This window comes from Homo sapiens, chromosome 2 (assembly GCF_000001405.40).
Source record: "Homo sapiens chromosome 2, GRCh38.p14 Primary Assembly".
Taxonomy (NCBI): domain Eukaryota; kingdom Metazoa; phylum Chordata; class Mammalia; order Primates; family Hominidae; genus Homo; species Homo sapiens.
The window spans coordinates 152420768-152442640 of record NC_000002.12 but is presented as its reverse complement, the minus strand read 5'-3'; the positions used below and the strand labels follow the sequence as shown (position 1 = coordinate 152442640).

At 40.5% G+C, this 21873-nt stretch overlaps 1 protein-coding gene across 13 annotated transcripts in view, besides 2 other annotated features; it reads right to left on the bottom strand.

The window, feature by feature from the left end:
• FMNL2 (formin like 2) overlaps positions 1–21873 on the bottom strand; it is a 314653-nt gene that overhangs the window by 207186 nt on the left and 85594 nt on the right. The window lies entirely within an intron of this gene.
• Positions 17516–18241: an enhancer, noted in NCBI's record as "H3K4me1 hESC enhancer chr2:153280914-153281639 (GRCh37/hg19 assembly coordinates)". NCBI's record gives its function as "activates a minimal SCP1, AML or CMV promoter by ChIP-STARR-seq in naive H9 embryonic stem cells {active_cell/tissue: H9 hESC(naive)}" and the evidence as "EXISTENCE:reporter gene assay evidence [ECO:0000049][PMID:30033119]".
• Positions 18242–18968: an enhancer, noted in NCBI's record as "NANOG-H3K4me1 hESC enhancer chr2:153280187-153280913 (GRCh37/hg19 assembly coordinates)". NCBI's record gives its function as "activates a minimal SCP1, AML or CMV promoter by ChIP-STARR-seq in naive H9 embryonic stem cells {active_cell/tissue: H9 hESC(naive)}" and the evidence as "EXISTENCE:reporter gene assay evidence [ECO:0000049][PMID:30033119]".

Sequence of the window (21873 nt, the reverse complement as noted above, 5' to 3'; positions counted from 1 at the left end):
CAAATGAACAGACAATAACTCAAGCTTTGGGTGGGGGTACGGAGAAAGGTATTATCAGTAAATGAAATAGCATATGAAAAAGGACAGAAGTGGGCCAGGTGTGGTGGCTCACGCCTGTAATCCCAGCACTTAGGGAGGCCAAGGTGGGTGGATTACCTGAGGTCAGGCTTTTCAGACCAGCCTGGACAACATGGTGAAACATCTCTCATAAAAATACAAAAATTAGCTGGGCATGGTGGCAGGCACCTGTAATCCCAGCTACTAGGGAGGTTGAGGCAGGAGAATCACTTAAACCCGGGAGAAGGAGGTCGCAGTAAGCCAAGATCGCGCCATTGCACTCCAGCCTGGGCAACAAGACCAAAACTCCGTCTCAAAAAAAAAAGAAAAAGAAAAAGAAAGAAAAAAAGAAAAAGGACAGAAGTGAGAAGCATGGCTCATTAAGGGAACTGATAACATTCAGAAGGACCAGTAGGTGACGCTGAGGAGGTTAACTACCTGAGAATATGTTAGTCCATTTCCTCCCTTTCTTTCTCAGGTGTCTAAATTTTGTCGGTTCCTCATCTGGTCACCCTGGCCCCCCTCACCAACCAAAAACTCTCCAACAACACAGATTTAACACAAAAAACTCCCCTAGCCACCATTTCCTATTTTAAAAAACAAACACACACAGACACACACTGGTAGGAACTCCCACTCTCAATATCTGATCCCACAAATTATCACACACCACCAATTCTCATTTCCTATTGCAGTTCTCATCTATTTTAACTCTACTGCTCCAAGTCCCTCTCTCAATTTTTTTTTTTGAGACGGAGTGTCGCTCTGTTGCCCAGGCTGGAGTGCAGTGGCATGATCTTAGCTCACTGCAAACTCCGCCTCCCTGGTTCAAGCAATTCTCTGCCTCAGCCTCCTGAGTAGCTGGGATTACAGACACGTGCCACCATGCCCAACTAATTTTGTATTTTTAGTAGAGATGGGGTTTCTCCATGTTGGTCAAGCTGCTCTCGAACTCCCGACCTCAGGTGATTCCCCTGCCTCAGCCTCCCAAAGTGCTGGGATTACAGGCATGAACCACCACGCCTGGCCTCCTGTCCCCCATTTTTAAGACAGGGTCTTGCTCTGTGTCACCCAGGCTGGAGTGCAGTGGCATGATTATAGCCTACTGCAGCCTCAAACTCACGGGCTCAAGAATCCTCCTGCCTCAGCCTCCCAAGTAGCTAGCACTACATGCATGCACTACCACTCTGTCTTTCCTCCCCTTTTTACTAAAATTGGTTCAAATCCCACCTCTTCCTAGAAAATGTATCACTATTATCTAGCGAACTTGTTAATGCTCTGTAGATCCTCTGTATTTGAATGTGCTGGGTGTGCTTGTGAGTATCAATCACTTGCTACATCATAAAACTCAAAAATATTTATAAAGATGTGTAGCTGTTTAACTTCCTAAAGAGGCAGTAAACTTCCTCTTAATTGTCTCATTTTCAAAATAAGCAGGTTGAATAAAATTACAATTAAGGTCAACTCCAAGTCTAAAATTTCATTACCTATAAACCCATTTAGTGCTCTGCACATATTACATGGTCTACAAATGTTGTTAAGACTATAGAAATCACCCTTCCAAAAAGTCATGAAGAGGATCTTGCCTTCCCTACATCCCCTTCTTTGAAAAAGACAAGGTGAAGGCAGTTTTTCTTTGATTCCCACAGTTTTGCAGAGGTTCCCATTTCAACTGCATCTGATAGGCTGGCAAGATTTAGTCATATTTCAGACTCAAATAAGAACTTAACAATCTTTCATAAGTAGTGTTTTCATCATTCCCACAAAAGTCCTCCCTCATTTTGATGTGAAAAGATTAAGAAAATGCTTCAAAGAAAAAGAATGAAATTCACCTCTGTGTTCTGCATGCAGACTCTTGGATAAGGACTTCCGGCACTAATAAGAATGTGTTCTCTACATGCCTCTACCTGTAACAACTTACTCTTCTTTGTTTTTTAACCACAGTTACTCACTGTTGTGAACTACCCATATACATCAAGGAGGGCTTCTAGAACTGATGTCACAGAAATTGAATCCGGTGAAGACACTTTCAATCTTAACATTCCAAGAAAACACTATTTTTTATTCTAAGGCAAAGGGAAGAATTCCTGACCCTAAACACAGTCAAGCGGGCCATTTCCCTTGTCCTTATCAGCAATGCATTTGTCAAGAAGCAGAAGTAGATGTTAGCATTTATGGCTGTACTGACAACTGTGAGATTTTGGTTTTTTGCAAGCATAAAGTCACAGCATGCACATTTATCAAACTTTTCTCTTGCCCATGTCTTCCCAACAAGCAAGCAACTTCCCAGCTGAGTTGGCTGCTGAAACGCCAAATTAACATGCAGTAAAGGCCAGACATTGTGGCTCACGCCTCTAATCCAACACTGTGGGAGGCTGAGTCAAGAGGATCACTTGAGACCAGGGATTTCAGACCAGCCTGGGCAACATAGCGAGACCTGGTGCCTACCAAAAATAAAATAATAATAAACATGCAGTAAAGCCCCAATTCTTCCATTTAGTTAAGGCAGGCTGATCCAAAGGGGTTTCACGTCCACTTCTCATTTTGTGGCTTATCCTTAGATGTTCTCAGTAGAGAGGTCACTTGGCAGTACACACAAGTTCATTACCTGCTTTCTACTGGTGGTTAAGGTCCTGACTTTTCTGTCCAGAATCTACAAATGTGATTTAAAAATGTATTAACGGTGAGACCACTCTAAGCACCTGCTATATGGCTATAATTTACAGAGAGTTTCATAAAACGGGTAAATGCTGATGCCCAAGAACCACAGACACGGCATACTAGACCAAATTAACTTAAATATGACCCCAAAACAAAAGTAGCCCAAGCTATATTCTTTCCCCAGCTAGGATCAGTATGGGGAGTCAGCACCCTCCTTGATGTCTTCAGGATCAAAGAGAGCAAAGAAAGGAATGAGTCCCTATTACGTGGAAGTATTGCAACAGGCACATTACACAGATATTCATTTAATGCTAAAGAACAATCTGCAAGATAGAGGAAACTGTTCCCAATTTATGGATGAAGGTTCAGAAAAAAGATGGTGACTTACAAAGGTCACTTTCAGGTTTCAACAAATCTTTTAGGTAAAAATTGTCTTTTTAATCTGTTTTCTTATTTAATTACCATATATCCATTACTTAAAAGTAAGAAAATGAAACCTGGCTTGATTAAAAAACCAAAACACACACATATCCAACAAAACTTGTCTTCTCTTGGGAAAAATAAACCTTGAACCTTGAAAATAATAACCTGTCTTATTTTCAAAGGTTAAGTTTGATAAATTTTCAATAAAACTAGCAGTTTTTTAAAGACATGCAAAACTATTAACAGCTCCCCTTGATTATATTTCATTTTTGACCATTTTCATATATGACATAATTATTTTCTACACCAAGCAACTTTTTTCTCCAAAAGCCAAACCTACTAAAAAGATAGGGACATTAAACCTGCATTACAATTAGCTATTGCCACACACACACACACACACACACACACACACACACAATTAAACTGAATTCCTTCCACTTCACAGGCCAGCCAAGAATCTGAATGCCTTTTATTTCTACTTTCTTTTCAAGTAACTAAAGAGATCTTAAATTGGTTATGTTTCCAATCCCAAATAAACCATTTTTGTTGATTTCCTAATCTCGGGTACTAGAAACATAAGTGCCGGCAACTGATGATTATGGCATTTTTATAAAGTAAATAAAATTTTACTTTATGAAAGAGTATCAAGTAACAGTAGGTTCTCCATATAGCCCCTAGAGCTTTACAAGTGATTAAAAATGGCATCAGCCCCCTGACGCTATGACTGCAAAAATGTAGCCTGATTGTTTACTCAGAGAATATGTTGCTAAACCAAAGAGCCCTCCCTGTCCATCCCGCGCCAAGAAGCAAATCTGCTTTCCCTGGCCACTAAAATAGATGCCACAGACAGGTAGCTCTCAGGAAAATTAAGACTAGCAGACAATTTTTCACTGACCTACACAGTACCTCAAAACACCCGAGCTGACATTAAAAGTCATATGTCTCAAAAAATAAAAAATAAAAAAACCACCTATATTTCAGTCTCCTTTAAAAGTCTGAAGACGTAACAACACTGGTCCTGTATTTCTGCATTAAGCTTCAATATCTACTTTCTCCCTCTTCCTCCAGGGACTTGATCTGTCCATTCCCCACTCTAATTTAGAACCTGCATCACCCACTTAAGGTTACCTGCGTGGCCCTTGAGGGCATCTGAATTTGCCATGCTTTTACTTCTAGCTACCAGGTGAAGCTGACCAATTGATTTTGATTCTGGAATGACTGTCCCTAGAAAAACAGTGAGTAAATAATACATTACACCATTTCCTAATTATTCCCTATTTAAACCCAATGCTGAACAGGCCTTCTTATATTCTCTAATGCTTGTATAGAGAAATTTGAACATATTCTTCACTTTTTATCCAATTTTTCCTTTTCTTCACATGTCAAATGCTAACATTTGGGCATTCTGCCTCATCATTTTGGAATAAGACAAGACCTTAAGGGCAAATTTCACTAAAACAGCTTCCAAAGTTTCCATGTAAGTCTCTTATTTATCCTGTCCAAATTTAAGACAAACATCTCTCATTTCAAGCGCACATTTCATAAAGGCTCTGTTTTTTCCTCACTCCACAGATTCTAATGCCTTTTACAACAGATGTGAGTGATACAGTACTGAGTGAATGGCTTCAAATTGGCCTCTTTTATATAAATCGAAGAAACAGCCAAAAGGCAGTGATATTCAAAGACCAACTATATAACTCTTCAAGATGTGCTTGAAGACTGCCCAAGAGGGGGACTACTGTGTCACTTTTGTTTCTGTTGTTTGAATCTGGAATTCTTATCAAGGTACCATGGTATCCTAGCCATGAGAGTCACCAGGGTTGCTCTCAGTTTCACACAAACCGATAGACTGTAAAATATAGTCAGTTTCACACAAACTGATAGACTGTAAAAAGGCATAATCAAGGCTTGTTTCCAAAAAAAAGCAGCACTAAATCAATCCAGCAATCTGCCGCAGGTCAGAAGTGGTTTCATGAAGTCAATACCATTATTGCTGGGCTAGAGCATCTTTTTCACCGCAGGGGGGGTGCATTATTATTCTTCTACCACTGCTTTGCAGTTACAGTAAGTTTCTCTGCTCAGTATACTATCAGACATTCTTTCTCAATTAATCTTGACAACAAGCTATGCAAACAGGCATGGCCAGTGGTGAAATATACCCCAAGAGGTATATTTGCTCCATGTCAGGTACAGAGCAGCAAATCAAATGTCTAGCTCCACAGTATCCATATCATCTGCTATGGAGTGAATGTTTTTGTCCCTCTTCCCCACCCCACAAATTCATATGGTGATCTCTAAATCTCCAATGTGATGGTATTTTGAGATGGGGCCTCTGGGAAATAATTAATTCATATGGGTAAAGCCCTTATGAATGGGATTAGTGCCCTTATAAAAGGATGAAGAAACCAGTGGTCTCTCTTTCCACCATGTGAGGAGACAATAAGGCAGCTATCTGCAAACCATGAAGCATACCTTCACCAGACACCAGATCTGCCAGTGCCTTGATGCTGGACTTCTACTCTCCAGGACTGTGAGAAATGTGTTGTTGAAGCCACCAAGTCTATGGTATTTTTGTTATTTCAGCCCAAACTAAGACATTGCCCAATCTAGATTCTTGGAACATATAAATATCGTGGACAGAGGGGTCTACTTGTCCACCAAAATTCCCACTTCCCCCTTCATACTATGAACTTATCACTGGAGAGGAGCTTTCCGCCAAGGACTACATTTACCAGGCCATTTCTATCAATTACTAGATGGGTTACTGAGACTATTTCTCACTACCAGAAACACTGGAGGAAGTGATATACGTCACTTCCAGGCAAAGGTGGCAAAATGGAGAGTTTTCATCCTCTCTTTTTCATAGGCCAGCTAGATTCAGAGGACTCCAAAGCCCCAGGGAATAGTAAGGCACAAAAAGAGAGAAATATGCAACCCACCTGCCAAGAACATCTATGCTGAGCTTTTAGGTCAGAGTCACAATAGGCCACTGAAATTTTGAGATGTGTTATAGTAGATACCATGTAGTTCCCAACTTTTACATTAGTATGTGTAGGTCAGGAGAGATGGCTCACATCTGTAATTCCAGCACCTTGGGAGGCTGAGGTCAGCGGATTGCTTGAGTTCAGGAGTTCAACCTGGGCAGCATAGTGAGACCCTCATTTCTACAAAATTGGAAAAAATAGCCAAGCATAGTAGTGTGCACCAGTAGTCCCAGCTAGTCAGCAGGCTTGAGCCTGGGAGGTGGAGGCTGCAGTGAGCCAAGATAGTGCCACTGCACTCCAGCCTGGGTGATAAAGCCAGACCCTGTCTCAAAAAAAAAAGAAAAATAAAAAAAGCAATGGGGTGAGGAAGTTGGAAAAGGCCTGAACTTATCAAGCACGGGATTGCAATACCGCGTGGTGTTTTGCATTTGAGGTATCTTCAGTGAATGAAATGGAGAAAAAAAAAAAACTAAGCACGTCTTTTAGTGGTATAAACAATGTTTTATGTATACATGCTATAGCACCATAGAGGAAACCTAAAATGAAGGGAACAATCTTTGGGGCTCTAACCAGCAGTCCAGGCTGGGTCAAGGTAGTATTGTGGTGGGGGCCACCTCGTAAAGTCTCTGCACCCTGACTTTTTTCTAGAAAGGGACAGTCAAGATCCTTCTAACTCCTATAAAATATCACACAATAAAACACCAGAATATTACAGCAATTCGCTGAGAACATAATTAGCAATTTGGTTTGTTAAACTATTTTTCTATTACTTCCTGAAAATTCAACTAGCTATATCTGTCAATCCCACCTTGAACAAAATTAAAATGCTAGAATCTCTATATTCAAGAGAGACGCTCTAGAGACCTTCTCATCTCTTTTTACCACTTTTACCAATACACCATCACTTGTGAGGGCTTTTTTTTTTTTCAGCCATTTATACTTGGTCTGAGGTTCTTCCTAATATCCTAATATCAGTGTACATCCCACTAACTATGTGGAAAGCCATCTCATAAGTAATGGTATGCAGGTATTTACCATACGTGAAGACAAATCTTAAGCATAAGTGACAGAAGAAAAAGATACCCAGGTATAATAACCAACATGGGATATCTAAATATAGTTAATTTTGCTGCATACAAATTATTTTCTGAATGATTTTTACATAATCTGTCCCATTTGCCCTTTAGATTTTTTGGAAAGACAGAGTTTTGCTATGTTGCCCACTCAGGTCTCAAACTCCTGGCCTCAAGTGACCCACCCACTTCAGCCTCCCAAAGTGCTGGGATTACAGCAGTGAGCCACCATGCCTGGCCTCATTTTCCCTTAAACAAGTGTGTGAAGAGAGCAAGGTGAGGGGTGTACATGTATGTACAGGTATCTGAGTCAAAAAATTTAGGCCATATGAGTCCAATGCCTCCAGAGAGAGATTAAATATAAGAATACCTTCTAGACTGTATCTCTGATCTCTCTGCTTGAGACTTTGACCAATGCTCCAAAGCTCCTTGGCCATAAACCATGCCATCTAGATGTTGAGTGCTAGAGCCTGCTGGACATTACTGAGCACATGTTTGTGGACTCTAGATGTGAAAAACAAACATTTGGGTACACTGCTCTGAGGGGCCATCCCAGGGATTAGTATCACATTAATGCTAATTCTGCAGCTGGCCCTGCCAAAGAATTCCCACCCAAGTCCTGGCCCTGGAACTCTGAATAAGTAGCTTAAGCTTCCGCAAAGTAGCATGAATAATTAAAGGAGCTAAGCCTACCTGCCTAATTAGAGCCAATAACAAACAAATCAGCTATCTAAAAACCAATTCTCAGCCCTCTGGGGCAAGCAGGAGTAGGCCAGTTAAAAAACTTACTGCTGTGTTCTGCAGGGGCCCTTCTGCATGGGGGGAAGACCCTGCCACCACAGCACCCTGCCTTACCATGGTGCCACCTAATCACTAATCACTTCACAGAAACTAAAATCAGGGGCCAGCTGGGATCCAGCTTATGTCCAAGCCAAGGAAGCACTCAAGTTTTTGTGTGCTGGATAAGATGCATGAGATCAAATGTCTAATTCTTAGACCTAGCTTGGTTCAAAAGGATTAAAACCTCAAATTCAGATTTAGCTGCAACTAGAAACATAAACCCCAAACACAGTTTTCAAAGGGCCACCAGGTCATATGCAATGCTAATGCCTTTATTCCTCCATACCCCCTGCCATTTGTAAATTTTACATGGGCCTGACCTAACGTGGAAATTCACCGTGCATACTTTCCTGCTGTAGCTGACAGTCTGCACAAAACTTGTCTCTCTGACTCCCTTCCCTGTTGCTCTAGGTCAGAGTGTATTTTGTAAATGGTTACTATGCTAATTACTAAGCAACTTTCAATAATTTGAAGAGTCCTTCTAAAAAAATTCAATGGAATAATTACAGTTAAATTTTCTACTACTCAGTTTTGCCCTACCCAGCCAACTTTCCCCTCATAAATGTCCTTCTGTTTCTACTCAAAATGGGCTTTCTCCTTGCATGACATTAATAGTACCAGTTTCCTCTATCACGTTAATAATAATTCGTTGTTTGGCCTTGCATTTGAGATTTTCAAAGCTACAGGAAAACAGGGCAGGACAAAGATTTTCTCCAGACTACATCAGACTGATTTTCCCCCACTGCTGTCTGCAGAGCCTTTTCTTTAGAAGGTTGGGGCCAATTATGGGGGAAGAACTAGAAGAAATCAGTAATAAGAAGAAAAGGAAATGTTGGCCTGCTTTATCCCTCAGCCTCTGATCACAGCTCATATTAGTAAATAGTCACAGCCAACCTAAGGTGGTGACAAGTTTTCCCCAAGGACCTCCAGGCCATTATTCTCACCCCATTTACTTTGTCCAGCTGTTCCTCTGTCATCTCTCACCCAAGCACTGTGTCCAGGGGCATGCAACTTTACATTCAGACCAACCCTGATGTCCACGGTAGACTACATTAAGAGTTGACTCACTAGGCAACAGAAAAGACTTCCCATTCTCAAGCTCACCCAGAGTCCAGTGGTGGGAAGAGAAGAGAAGTTGGGTTGATTTTCTATCCTCCAGAATAATGCCAACTTCCTTTGTCCACTTTTAAGTCTTCTGCTCTACAAACACATGGTAACCTAGATGACTTCTCCCCTAAAATGAGCTGCCACAAACAAGAGCACATCATTTCTGTAAGACAACCTACACTCTTGCATACTGTTATTTTGCAATAGTTGAAACGCAGTGAATTGTAAGTGCTAATAAAATTATTCTCATATTCTTTTTCTGATCCTCTGCTTGATGGCACACAGCAATTTCCCTTTCCTTCATTAGTTAGTTCCAGGGCCTCCTGTCCTTGAATAAAGATTTAAGAATGTGCTCTTGTGATATAAAATTAAGTGGCCTACCATTTATTCAGCGCCTATTAGGTCCTGGATCAGTTCTGGGAAATGACAGATAGATAAATACCTCCTCATTTAATGCTAACAGCTCCATGAGGTAAGCGCTGCTAGTATAGAGCAGAGGCAGAACTCAAGCCCGGGTCTGCCTGACTCCAAAGTCCATGTCAATGCCTGCCATGCAACCTGAAAACTTCTTTTGAAGCCAGCTCTCAGGAAATGAATCCTGGAGCTTCTCCTGTATTATCCTACGCTGCAAAGCCAGCTCTCAGGAGATGGATCCTGGAGCTTCTCCTGTATTATCCTACACTGCAGGACTATCAGGGAGTACCTCCAATGTTGTCTTACTCATCTTTAAAATTTGTTAGAGTCCCAAGAAAGGCTACAGTTTAATTAACGGCCCCCTATGCCAATTCAACCTCAGAAGGAACATCCAAAGACTTGAGTTTATTTATAACAACTGACAGAAGGTCTACTTGCAATGGCAGGGAAGTCTATCCTCAGAATAAATTTGCCTTTCTCCAGGCTAAAGGTCACACAAGGTACAAATTTAGAGCTTTGGACGGCCATCTGCTGATGCATCTGGAAACAAAGGGAGGAGACAGGAAAGGAACGGGAGGCAGCCAAATCCCCTCAGATGTCTCACTAGGGTGTGTGTGTGCATGCATGTGTGTTTCCTGGTGCATCTTTAGAACAATACTGTAAATTAGGATGGGTGTATCAGACCTTAAGAAAACTGGCATGATTCTTTCACAATGCTTCCGCTCTGCTTTGAATTATTGCAAAATCAGAGAATGATTGAATCATGATGTCAAGCTTTCACATGCTCAATCCACACAGGCAATGCCAGAATGGGAGCAAAGTGGAAATGAAGACAGAATCATCTGAGACTGTTAAAAAAAAAAAGAAATGCAACCAACCACCAGTCCCCTATTTATGAGGAGAAAACACATATTCAGCCTGTGGGCCCATTTTTCTTTTACATAGATATTAGCCAAATACTGAAAACAATCACATAAACCACATTTCATAAAATTGTATGTGTATATACACATACACACAGATAACAGAGAGAGGAATAAAATATTTTCTCAAAAATCTTCAGAATCCTTCTCAAGATTTAAATTTTCAAATCTTTTTTTTTTTTTTTTTTTTAAAGATAGGGTTTCACTCTGTTGCCCAGACCAGGAGTGCAGTGGTGTGATCACAGCTCACTGCAGCCTTGACCTCTCTGGCTCAAGCAATTGTCCCAGCTCAGCCTCCCAAGAAGCTGGGACTACACGCATGTGCCACCATGTCTGTCTATTTTTTATTTTTTGTAGAGATGAGGTCTCCCTATGTTGCCCGGGCTGGTCTCCAACTCCTGGACTCAAGCAATCTTCCTGCCTCAGCCTCCCAAAGTGCTGGGATTACAGGCATGAGCCTCACACTGGGCTCAGATTTCATCTTTAAAACAGACACGCGGCACATTAATTTCTTCTATTTGGTCAAGGTACTCCAAGTTTTATGTAACAACACAAATTAGGGCACTTTAACATAAAAATGATATATTTGATGTTTTAGTGACTGCAATACAAAATCACAATGGTTTCAAAAACATGTTGCTATTTTTTCAGCAGCTAGAATGAAATGTGTTTCATCTCATAATGTGATCCATAAAGAAGTTAATCTTTTTCCATTTGCTGAAAAGCTGAGCCTTTTGGATTAACCATGTACATGCAACCAGTTGGTAAACAAAACACATTTTAAACTTTTGGTTACTAAGACATTGATAAATAATCCCAGATTAACTCAATTTCTCTGAAGTCTAATTTTCAAAGTTTTCACACCATTATCATAATTGAGCCTTATAATAAGCCTATGAGGGTAGGGATTATTTTCTCCATTTTTGGAGGAAGCAACAGAGAATTAATATTCAAGGAAGATGATTTAAAGCAGTGTTTCCTAAAGATAGTCTCTTTTTTCCTTTGTGTGAGAAAGAAAGTAACAATTGGCCTTAAAAAGAACCATTATTCTCAAGATCCCTGCAGAAAACAGCGAACAAAAAGTCAGCTGAGCATTTGGCCCCAAAAGTCATTCTGCCCCTTGTAAAGCAAAACACAATCATTCAAAACAGATGCAAGGCAATCTTGGAATTACATTTTTTAATGGTCCACTTTTAAACATCAATCAGCAAAAATAAAAAGGGGGGAGGGGAGGGCATAATTCCAGAATTTGCTGAAATAAACATATATATATATATATTTTCGAGACCAAGTCTCACTCTGTCACCCAGGCTGGAGTGCAGTGGCATGATCTTGGCTCACTGCAACCTCCACCTCCCGAGTTCAAGCAATTCTCGTGCCTCAGCCTCCCCAGTATCTGGGACTACAGGCACGTGCCACCATGCCCCGCTAATTTTTTGTATTTCAGTAGAGACGAGGTTTCACCATGTTGCCCAGAGTGGTCTCGAACTCCTGAGCTCAGGCAATCCGCCCACCTCGGCCTCCCAAAATGCTAGGATTACAGGCGTGAGCCACCGTGCATGGCCTGAAATAAATCTTTAATCAACCTTTAAAGAAAGAGATGAATGGAAGTGAAAGTAGGTATATAAACATTAACTTGCATTACAATGTTCACGTCTTCAACGTACCCCATAGGCCTGGGCTCTAAGGCATGCAGAAGGCCATTAGAAAATGATATTTCACTCATCTCCAATTAAATGAGTTAACACACCTTCAGCACAATGTTCATTTTGCCTATAACAGAACATTAATAAAGAGAAGAGAAAAGGTGAGTGTGCACACAAGGGCACGTTGGCAACCCACTGCTGTCTGTCAAGGAAGAGACAAAGGATAGCCTGGTCGCAAGTTCTAAAATGGACTAACGTGAGAACTCATTTCCAAAACTCAAGCACAGTACAGTCTCTTGACTTCCACATAGAAAATGAAAACCACTTTATTTTGCAAGTGAAGGGATAATTAGTCATAATTTGATAAAACCAGTATTATAAAAATTTCAATATAACCAACTGCTCAAAGCACACATCTGCTGCCACTGCTTTTTTTGTTTGTTGGTTTGTTTTTTGTTTTTAAGTTCAGGGGTACATGTGCAGGATGTGCAGGTTTGTTACGTAAGTAAACGACGTATGCCATGGTGGTTTGCTGCACCTATCAACCCATCACCTATGCCACATCTTTTAAAAATCCAAGATAGATGTGTAAATGCAATATATGCACAGAATTGTTGAGCTGAATAAGCAAGATGTCAGATTATTTATCCCAGCACCTTCATATTACAGAGAAGAAAACTACAGCACAGAAATTTCGACTGCTTAGTGTAACGTTCATGGCTCCCAGGCACAAAAGCAGGTCTTAGATCCCCATCATACTGTGTCAATTCAGACATATCTGAGAGCATCAATTTCTAAAAACTTAGAAATTAAAAAAGAAAGAGCATTTCCCCAAAATTGAAGACAAATTGAAGATAGATGCCACAGAAGTCTTAGAAGGGAAAAGAAAACAAAAAAAAAAAGACAAAAGAAGTGGGCTATCTAAGGGATCTGTCAGTAAATACCAACCACATTAATTCGGCAACAGTTCTTTACTGCAAGTCAGCAATAGCTGGCACATTGAAATACTAAGCTTTTAGCCTTTCTCTCTTTAAATTTCAGTAAAACCTCTATCGCTGAAATGGTGCTGAAAAGAAAAATGAATCGCTAGAGGCAGGAAGTTATTTCCAGTTCATGCTCCACTTCCCACAGCTAGACCCTTCACTAGGCTCTAGAAAAGGATCAAGAGTTTACACACAATGTAAGGCAGGGGCACCGGCCTAGAAAGGGACAGCTCTGCATGGACACATTTGGTCGGACACTGCGTGCTGTCTTCAGCTTTAACCATTTTCTTTCTTTTTTTTTTTTTTTTTTTGTTCCTCTAAGGCTTTTTTAAATTTCCAACTTCTATTTTAAGTTCAGGGGTACATGTGCAGGATGTGCAGGTTTGTTACGTAGGTAAACACGGTGATTTGCTGCACAGATCATCCCATCACCCAGGTATTAAGCCCAGCATCCATTAGCTATTCTTCCTGATGCTCTCCCTCCTCCCACCTGCCTCCTCCCTCCTCACACACAACAGGCCCCAGTGTGTGTTGCTCCCCACCATGCTCCCATGTGTTCTCATCATTTAGCTCCCACTTGTAAGTGAGAACATGCAAGCTTTAACTATTTTCATGCAGCAGTGTTAGATGAATCTCTAGACAGACCAGAAAAATGGCATCAGACATTAGACTAGACCTTGAGGTATATGACATATTATAACTAGAAACACTTTCTACCCCACCACTCGAACTATCTCTATCCAAAGTCACTAATGACTTATGACCAATAGCCACATCACAGAATTATAGAACACAATTAGTCAAAACACAGGGTTTGCTATAAATTCTTATTTCAAAATACTAGAAACTTCTCAACCTCCCTAGATATTCTATAGGGGTCTTTACAAAAAGAATAAAATGGTATCATTTCAGGAAGGTTTTTAAAAGAGAGTCCTTAAAAAGTTGGCTATCTACCATATATTTGATGCAGCAAAAGGAAAAAGGCTCTTAAATTATGCAATAAGCTAACCTAGAAGACATCAAGAAACTAAATGGAAAATATATTTACAAATGAGAAGAAAAATACTGCAGGCAACACAAAGAGCAATAACCCATATTTCTATGGCATTTTAAACTTTACATTAAACTATAATGGCTTACTACAGCTGCCCCTTTGTTTCCATGATAAATCTGTACATAAAATAATTGTAAATTGTGGTTTGCTTGCTTTTTGTCCCTCACTGCCATTAAACCACAGACATCTAGAAAAGAAGAAAGCACGGTTCTGATTTGCTTTTGTTTTGCAGGATAGAGCAAGAAGCCTTGCACACAGAAGTCACTTAAAACATTTTTGGAATGAATATGTTACCAATCAGCAAATATTTTTCAAGTTTGATAAAATGCAAAGTTGGCAAGAATGGGTTGAGACAGGTACTCTCATACACCACTGGTAATTTAAATAGGTGTTGCCTTTTACAAAGGGGGAATGTGGCAATTTGGCAGTGTGACAATATCCTTTAAAGACAATGGCAAAGTTTCCATTATATACTGTTAATTGAAAAAGGCAAGGTATAGCACAGTACACTGAATGTAATCCTATGTTGTATTGTTTTAAAGGTAGAGTATACTCTGCATATAGGGTGACCACGTGTGGCCAAGGGTATGTGCACTGCACAAACCCAGGGGGAGTCATTCCTACTATAATCTAAATACAATCCATATATCTAATCCCAGGGGCCCTGCTTGACTGCATACACGATTCTGGAAGGATTTATAAGAAGCTTCATAGAGGTTATCTCAAACGTTAATACTGGGGGATAGAATTTACATGAAGAGGAGGAAGTCTTGTCTTCCCATGTTCTACCCTTTTGAAATGTTTTCATTTCACATATTACCTTGAAAGTTTTAGTCTCATTTTTAAGAGAGATGTTATGTTGAAAAAAAAAGACAATAATGGAAATTAAAACAACAAAAAATGATTTCATTTTATTTATTTATTTTTTAAGAAGGAGTCTCACTCTATCGCCTAGGCTGGAGTGCAGTGGCATGATCTCAACTCACTGCAACCTGTCTCCAGGGTTCAAGCGATTCTCCTGCCTCAGCCTCTCGAGTAGCTGCGACTACAGGAGCACAACACTATGCCTGGCTAATTTTTTTATTTTTAGTAGAGACTGGGTTTCACCATGTTGGCCAGGCTGGTCTCGAACTCCTGACCTCAAGTGATCCACCCATCTCAGCCTCCCAAAGTGCTGGTATTGCAGGTGTGAGCCACCACACCCAGCCAAACAATGATTTTAAAGCATTAACTTCTCCTGCTTTTAAACTTCCCATCTGGTTTCCCTCTTTCCTGTAAGTTATCTTTTAGGACTCAGGGGTTACTAGCACTGATTTTCATTTTATGCTAGTTTGGGACCTAATCAGAATGATTTCCTGCTCCTAACCGTTCCAACATCAGAGTAGGAGAAACAAACCAGGTTGATACAATCCTCTCCTACGAGGAGTTGGAAGAGGATTTTGTAAAACAAAAACACTGACTCGCTATTACATGCCATGTGAGCCATGAGGTAGAGACCAACGGGCATGGCAGGAAGAGTATGGGCCACAAATGCTTGATTTTTTATGTATTTCTTTAGATGGATGAGTTGTGCTTAAAATTTACTTTTCTTACAAATACCTGTTAGGCTTCTTAGAGACCACTGCCTAATGCAAACAGGTGATAAGGCTAAACTTTAAATATATTTCCTTATGGTAATTCAAGTTGACAATAGGAATAGGCTATAAACAGCTTTTCTAAATACCAAGTACTGCATATATGCAAAACAGATTGTTGTTTTATATGCTTCTGTGTTTCTCAAAAAAAAAAAAATCTCAGTATCAGCTGCCCATCAGAATCATCTGGGGAGCTTTGAAAAAACATCAGTATCTGGGCCCCACCTCTGACTAATGAAGTCGAACCACTGTGTCTGCACTGATGATCAAAAGAAAGCATTTCACATCAAGTCTGAGTACGTATTCATCTTGTGACGTGACAAAGTGAGATGAATTTTCAAGAACTATACATACAAACAATGCTTGAGGCACTGAAAGTGCACTGCCACATGGCTCCTGCCTTTGGAACAAAACTCTAAGCAAGTGATAAAACATACTAAGGGCTATGGCAACCACAACCGAGGGGCCATTGTCTTATATCTCTACCGGCTGCTTGTCTAGGCTGCTACCAGTGCTTAAAAGGTCTTCTAAATACACAAGTACCCTGTCTGACTTACTCCTAATAACAGCTGTTATTCCTACAGCTATTCTGGAGAGCATTTCAGCCACAGACACACAAAAATAAATAGCCAATGACACACAGCTCAAGGTCCATTGTGGCCTAAAGAACCCTGAGCTTCTCTTCCTCACTCCCTTTCTCCCTGTCACCCATCTCCATTTACTCAGATGCCATAACACTTAAATATTTTTATATAACACAATGAGGTAGATGTTAAAACTTCTTCATCATCCTGGAAATGATTTATCCCTACCATAAATCTATCACAACGTATACCCAAAGGCTAACAGAGGAGATATTCAACCTACCAGGTCAGAGAATCCTCCACAGAAAATTGCTAAAAGGTCCTGCAACCCTCTCTGTGTATTCTGGCCAAAGTTAATACAGTTTGTTTCCTGAAGTGCTCATACCAGAGAGATGGGATGGGGGAAGTCGTTTGGAAACCGCCAAGAACTATTGATTAGAAACACATGGGAAACCACAAAGGCATTACACCTTGACTTCAATTAACCAAAGGAGGGTTCATATCTCTTTCCAATGTTATAGACAAGACATACTTAAAGCTCCGCTCAAGATGTGTTTGGGGCATGTTTCACAATAAAAATACCTGGTATAAACACGACTGTAGAACTTTAAGTGGTTCTGGCATATTAAGATATATGGCTGTTTTGTTAAAATACTTTTTTGATCATTAAAAAGCAGTATAATTAGAACAAGTATTAGAAGGACTACCAATCATTTATTTTTATTTTTGGTTTTTGTTTGAAAATTAAGCCAAAGATATTTAAGAACAGAATTGTCAGAAAAAGATTATGTAATAAACAAGTTTCTATAACTGCCATGTACAGAGATTTTACTAACATTTTTATCACACTGAACTGAGAATTCTGAAGTCCAATTTAGGATTAATCACCAGGACAGAATGGAGGGAAATTATAAGACCACTTGGCAGTTACTCCATCTCAAATAACTCTGTCTCCAATTCCTTTACTGAAATAGCACATAGCACTCTTACCTAGAAAGATCTCATAGACCCGTCTATAGCTTTATAATAAGGCCCATATTGGATTTTCAGGATGCGAAAGCACCAGAAAATTAACCCAGAAAACTGGACTGCTCCTTTCATCTAACTCTTTACAGGGGTTTGGAAAACTGACTTGACCATTCTTAGGTTTCAATGCCTACTTATGTAAAATAAGCAGGTTGATTTTGAAGGTTTGCTAAAGTTCCTTTCAGCTCCAAAAATTTCTTCCAGTTTACAACTAGAACAAAAATGATACATGAAGAGTTAAAAGTGAATTAACAACACAAACTCAGCGCCCTTGTATCAATGCCATCACTTGATCAAAATGTTCCTATGGGCAACTAATGTGTTATACCAGACATAGTGTTTCAAGCTTTGGCTTTTCCAATTTTTAATATATTCTAACAGTTTTGACAGAATACCCTGCATTCCACATACTCACTTTGATTCCCTCTTGAGCATCTTCTTGTGACCTTTGATAAGTTAAAAGGGTCTTGAACTGGATGAAAGTCTGCCAGAAGCAAATGGAGGGGCATAACTTGGTAGAATAAAAAGATGGTAGGCCCGGGCTAGGAGTGGTGGCTTATGCCTGTAATCCCAGCACTTTGGGAGGCCGAGATGGGCGAATCACAAGGTCAGGAGTTCGAGACCAGCCTGGCCAACATGGTGAAGCCCTGTCTCTGTTAAAAATATAAAAATTAGCCGCGCATGGTGGCGCACGCCTGTAATCCCAGCTATTCGGGAGGCTGAGGCAGGAGAATCACTTGAACCCAGGAGGTGGAGGTTGCAGTGAGCCAAGATCATGCCACTGCACTGCAGCCTGGGTGACAGAATGAGACTACATCTCAAAAAAAAAAAAAAGATGGTAGGCCCAAAAAACACAAGCAGCAAATCAATCAATTAATAAATCCCAAGTACATTACACATTAAGTATGAAGAGTCAAATTTTCCTCCCACCAAAACGCGCTAATCCGTTATATTTACTAAATACAAAGGTGGACAGACACCCAGCCCGGGTTCCTTCATGTGTACCACCGAATACTTCCACAAGGTTTTTGTGCCCTAAGGACAGGGGAATGCTAAACAAAAACTAGAGTGGTCATTTTCCCTTTGAGGCCGAGAGGGAATTACTATCATGGTTGCTATCTTCCAAATTCAGAGAAAGGTAATTTTTAGTGAACAGCTGAACTTAATGACTATACCAGCCTCATGAGCTTCCCTCCCCAGAATCCTAGCACACTAGGAGATCAAAAGGCCTTCCCCCTAAACAAAGAAAAGGTCCCAGGCTTCAAAATAGGCAAGGTTAATGGGCAGACCCACCAACTATAATACAACCATTTGCAAAAGAAGAGGAAGGAGGTGGGCTAAGGATATGGGGCAATGGGCCCAGTTCCTCCCACAGATCATTCCAGACCAGGCTTTTCAGACCTTCACCAAGGACCTTTTGACCAGAACACAGACACCCCCAACCCCCAACTCCCTCAGGTAAGGGACCTCAAAAGCACATCACTCTAGCTCTCTGAGGTCCAATATAGAAAGCAAAAGTCCATCAAAGCATGTTTTGCTCCCTATGATACCAAGGCAAAGAAGAGGAGGGTAAATGGACAGAGGAATCCTAGATTACTGACAAATGCCATGCAGACCACCAGGATGGATTTATCGGATCTTATTTTATTCTGTACTAAGGCATCTGAGACCCAGGGCTATCTGAAGCTCTGGCTGTTTCCTAGAAGGTACTGGCTTTTACTCTTCCTGATGCCTTCCATCCATCTAGTTAGCTACTGCTTCCCCCATTCTTTCTGGTCTCATCAGGTGCTTTAGAGTGCTTAGAATAACACGTTTTGATTCCCAACTCCATCATTACCAGCTCTGTGACACTGGCCAATCTATTTACCTTTTCTATGCTTCTGTTTCTCTATCTGTAAAATACAAATATTAAGAGTACCTTTCTCAAAGTGTGTCAAGAGGAATCAACGAATTCAATGAGTTAATCTTCACAAAGCACTTAGAACAGTGCCTGACATATGGTGAGTGCTATATTGTTTGATTAAAATTAAATAATATAACTGGATTGTTTTTAACACAAAAAATAAATGCTTCAGGGAAGATATCCCATTTTACATTATGTGATTATTACACATTCCATGCCTGTACCAAAACATCTCATGTACCCCATAAATATATATGCCTACTATGTACCCACAAAAATTAAAATAAAAAAATTTTACTTAAATAATTTTCAAAGATGATTTCTTCTTCTTCATAGCCAGCTAGAGAACCTAATAGCACATCAGAGAAGGGTACCTTAAAAGAGCAGTTTAAAACTGACACAACTGTTGCAAAGTTTCTTTTGGGGCAATGGAAGTATTTCCAAATTAGATTGTGGCAATGGTGGCACCACTCTGTAAATCTACTAAAAATCATTCAAGGCCGGTTGCGGTGGCTCACGCCTGTAATCCCAGTACTTTAGGAGCCTAGGCGGGTGAATTCCTTGAGCTCAGGAGTTCAAGACCAGCCTGGGAAACATGGCAAAATCAAGTCTCTACAAAAAATACAAAAATTAGCCGGGCGTGATGGTGCATGCCTGTAGTCCCAGCTCCTGGGGAGGCTGAGATAGGAGGATGGCTTGAGGTGAGCCCGGAGGCAGAAGATGCAGTGAGCCAAGATGGTGTCATTACACTTCAGCTTGGGTGACAGTGCAAGACCCTGTCTCCCAAGGAAAACTCCCCCACAAAAAAATCATTTCGGTCTATACTTTAAAATGAGTGAATTTTATGGCATTTAAAGTATACCTCAATAAAGCCATTAACAAAAAAAGAATGAGACAACCATTTATCCAATGAATCAACTATTAAGTCACAAAATCCAGGATGCCAATCTATTCCTGGTCCCCCTTCAGGCAACAGCATGACAATGATGATCACGGGGCATCATGAACATATGTGATCTCTTCACATTGGGCATCCGTGACTTAAAGAATGGGCAAAACACAGAACGAGGGAATCCCTAGGAGGCTTTCAGCTTCTGGGAAGAATGTTTCACATACCCACAAAACAATTTAAGCCCTTTGTAACTAAGAAAACATGCCTCAACAGGCAAGTACTTTCCCTGAACTTCTTAAGCCTATTCCCCTAAACATGGGAGGCAGCAGGTTTGACCTAAAGAGCTCAGGCCCTGTCAGATTTACAAAGGTGATTAGATGATTTCAAATTCAGCCTGCATGGCCTAAAACAGTTTATTTTGACCTATCCACACCGGTTTCCTCATCAATAAACCTACCTAGCTTGAAGGCATTACTTAGGATTGGAGATAATAAACGTAAAATACCTAATGTTTGACACAGGGTAGGCATCAAACACAGTAGTGCAGTAATAGCAATTACTTCATAGTTAAATATAAACATAATAAAATGCACAGTGAGAGATCATCATGCAAAATAAGGGAACCAAACCTTTTCTCTACACTTACGCAATTTCTATAACATCACTCCCTGGTCATATCTCTCTGAGTGCACATGACTCAGTACAAAGGAAATGAGCTCCCGGGTAGCCAGTAATCAGTAACAGGAAAGGCACTGCTGCCAACAGAATTGAATCATCTCACATTTCTCGAAGTTCCTAGGTGAATTCAGTGTCCTCTGAGAAGGCTTTGGAGAAAGCCACATGAGGAGGATTTTGGGAGGCAGAATATACAACTCTCTACTCTTAGTCATGTCTGTGCATTTCACATAGTAAGTAGCCACTCCTATATTTCCCCCTTTGCAGAGCCTGTGGATGGAGATTTACATCTCACAATTGCACTTGAGTTTCCCCAGAGAGGTTAGCACTGATTTGTTGTCCCAACACGGTTGCATGTTATTAATTGTCCAGAAACAGAATGATATGGCAATGGTGCTTAGGTTGTACCTGTAACCCTAACACTGCTGCAAATATAGTAGGATAATTAATTTGTGGTTGGTTCAAATACCTCACATTACCGGCTTTGGGATAAAACAAATTACTGCCCACAGTAAGCCATGAATTTATTTTTCAAAGACTTGAAGTCATTCATTCCACTGACTTCCTCAGAGCCAAAGATACTGACAGAAGTGTTGTACCCACTGACAAGAAAATGCCTAAAGGGGAAATGAGTTGTTAGGGTGGCGGGGCTGGGCAGGGCGTTGTTTCATTTCAGTTTTACCATTTTACCTACTAATAACAATGCTTACACAGTATTATGTGTTTCCAAAATGTCCCCACATACAAGATGCGTTGGACGGTACCCTACAATCCTTGCAGAAAGGCAAGCAACCAACGCCAGACATCTCAGGCGAATAACAGGCAAATCTGAGTCCGAAACCCAGTTCTTCCTACTCCTAGTCTTTCCTGTGCTCAATTTCATGATGCTTCTACAACTGGGATTCAGAGTGGAACTCAGTCAAGGTTTTTCCACCAGTAGGTTTGTAATAACTTACAAAGGTACCGTCACAGAAGGCACCCCCTGCAACCT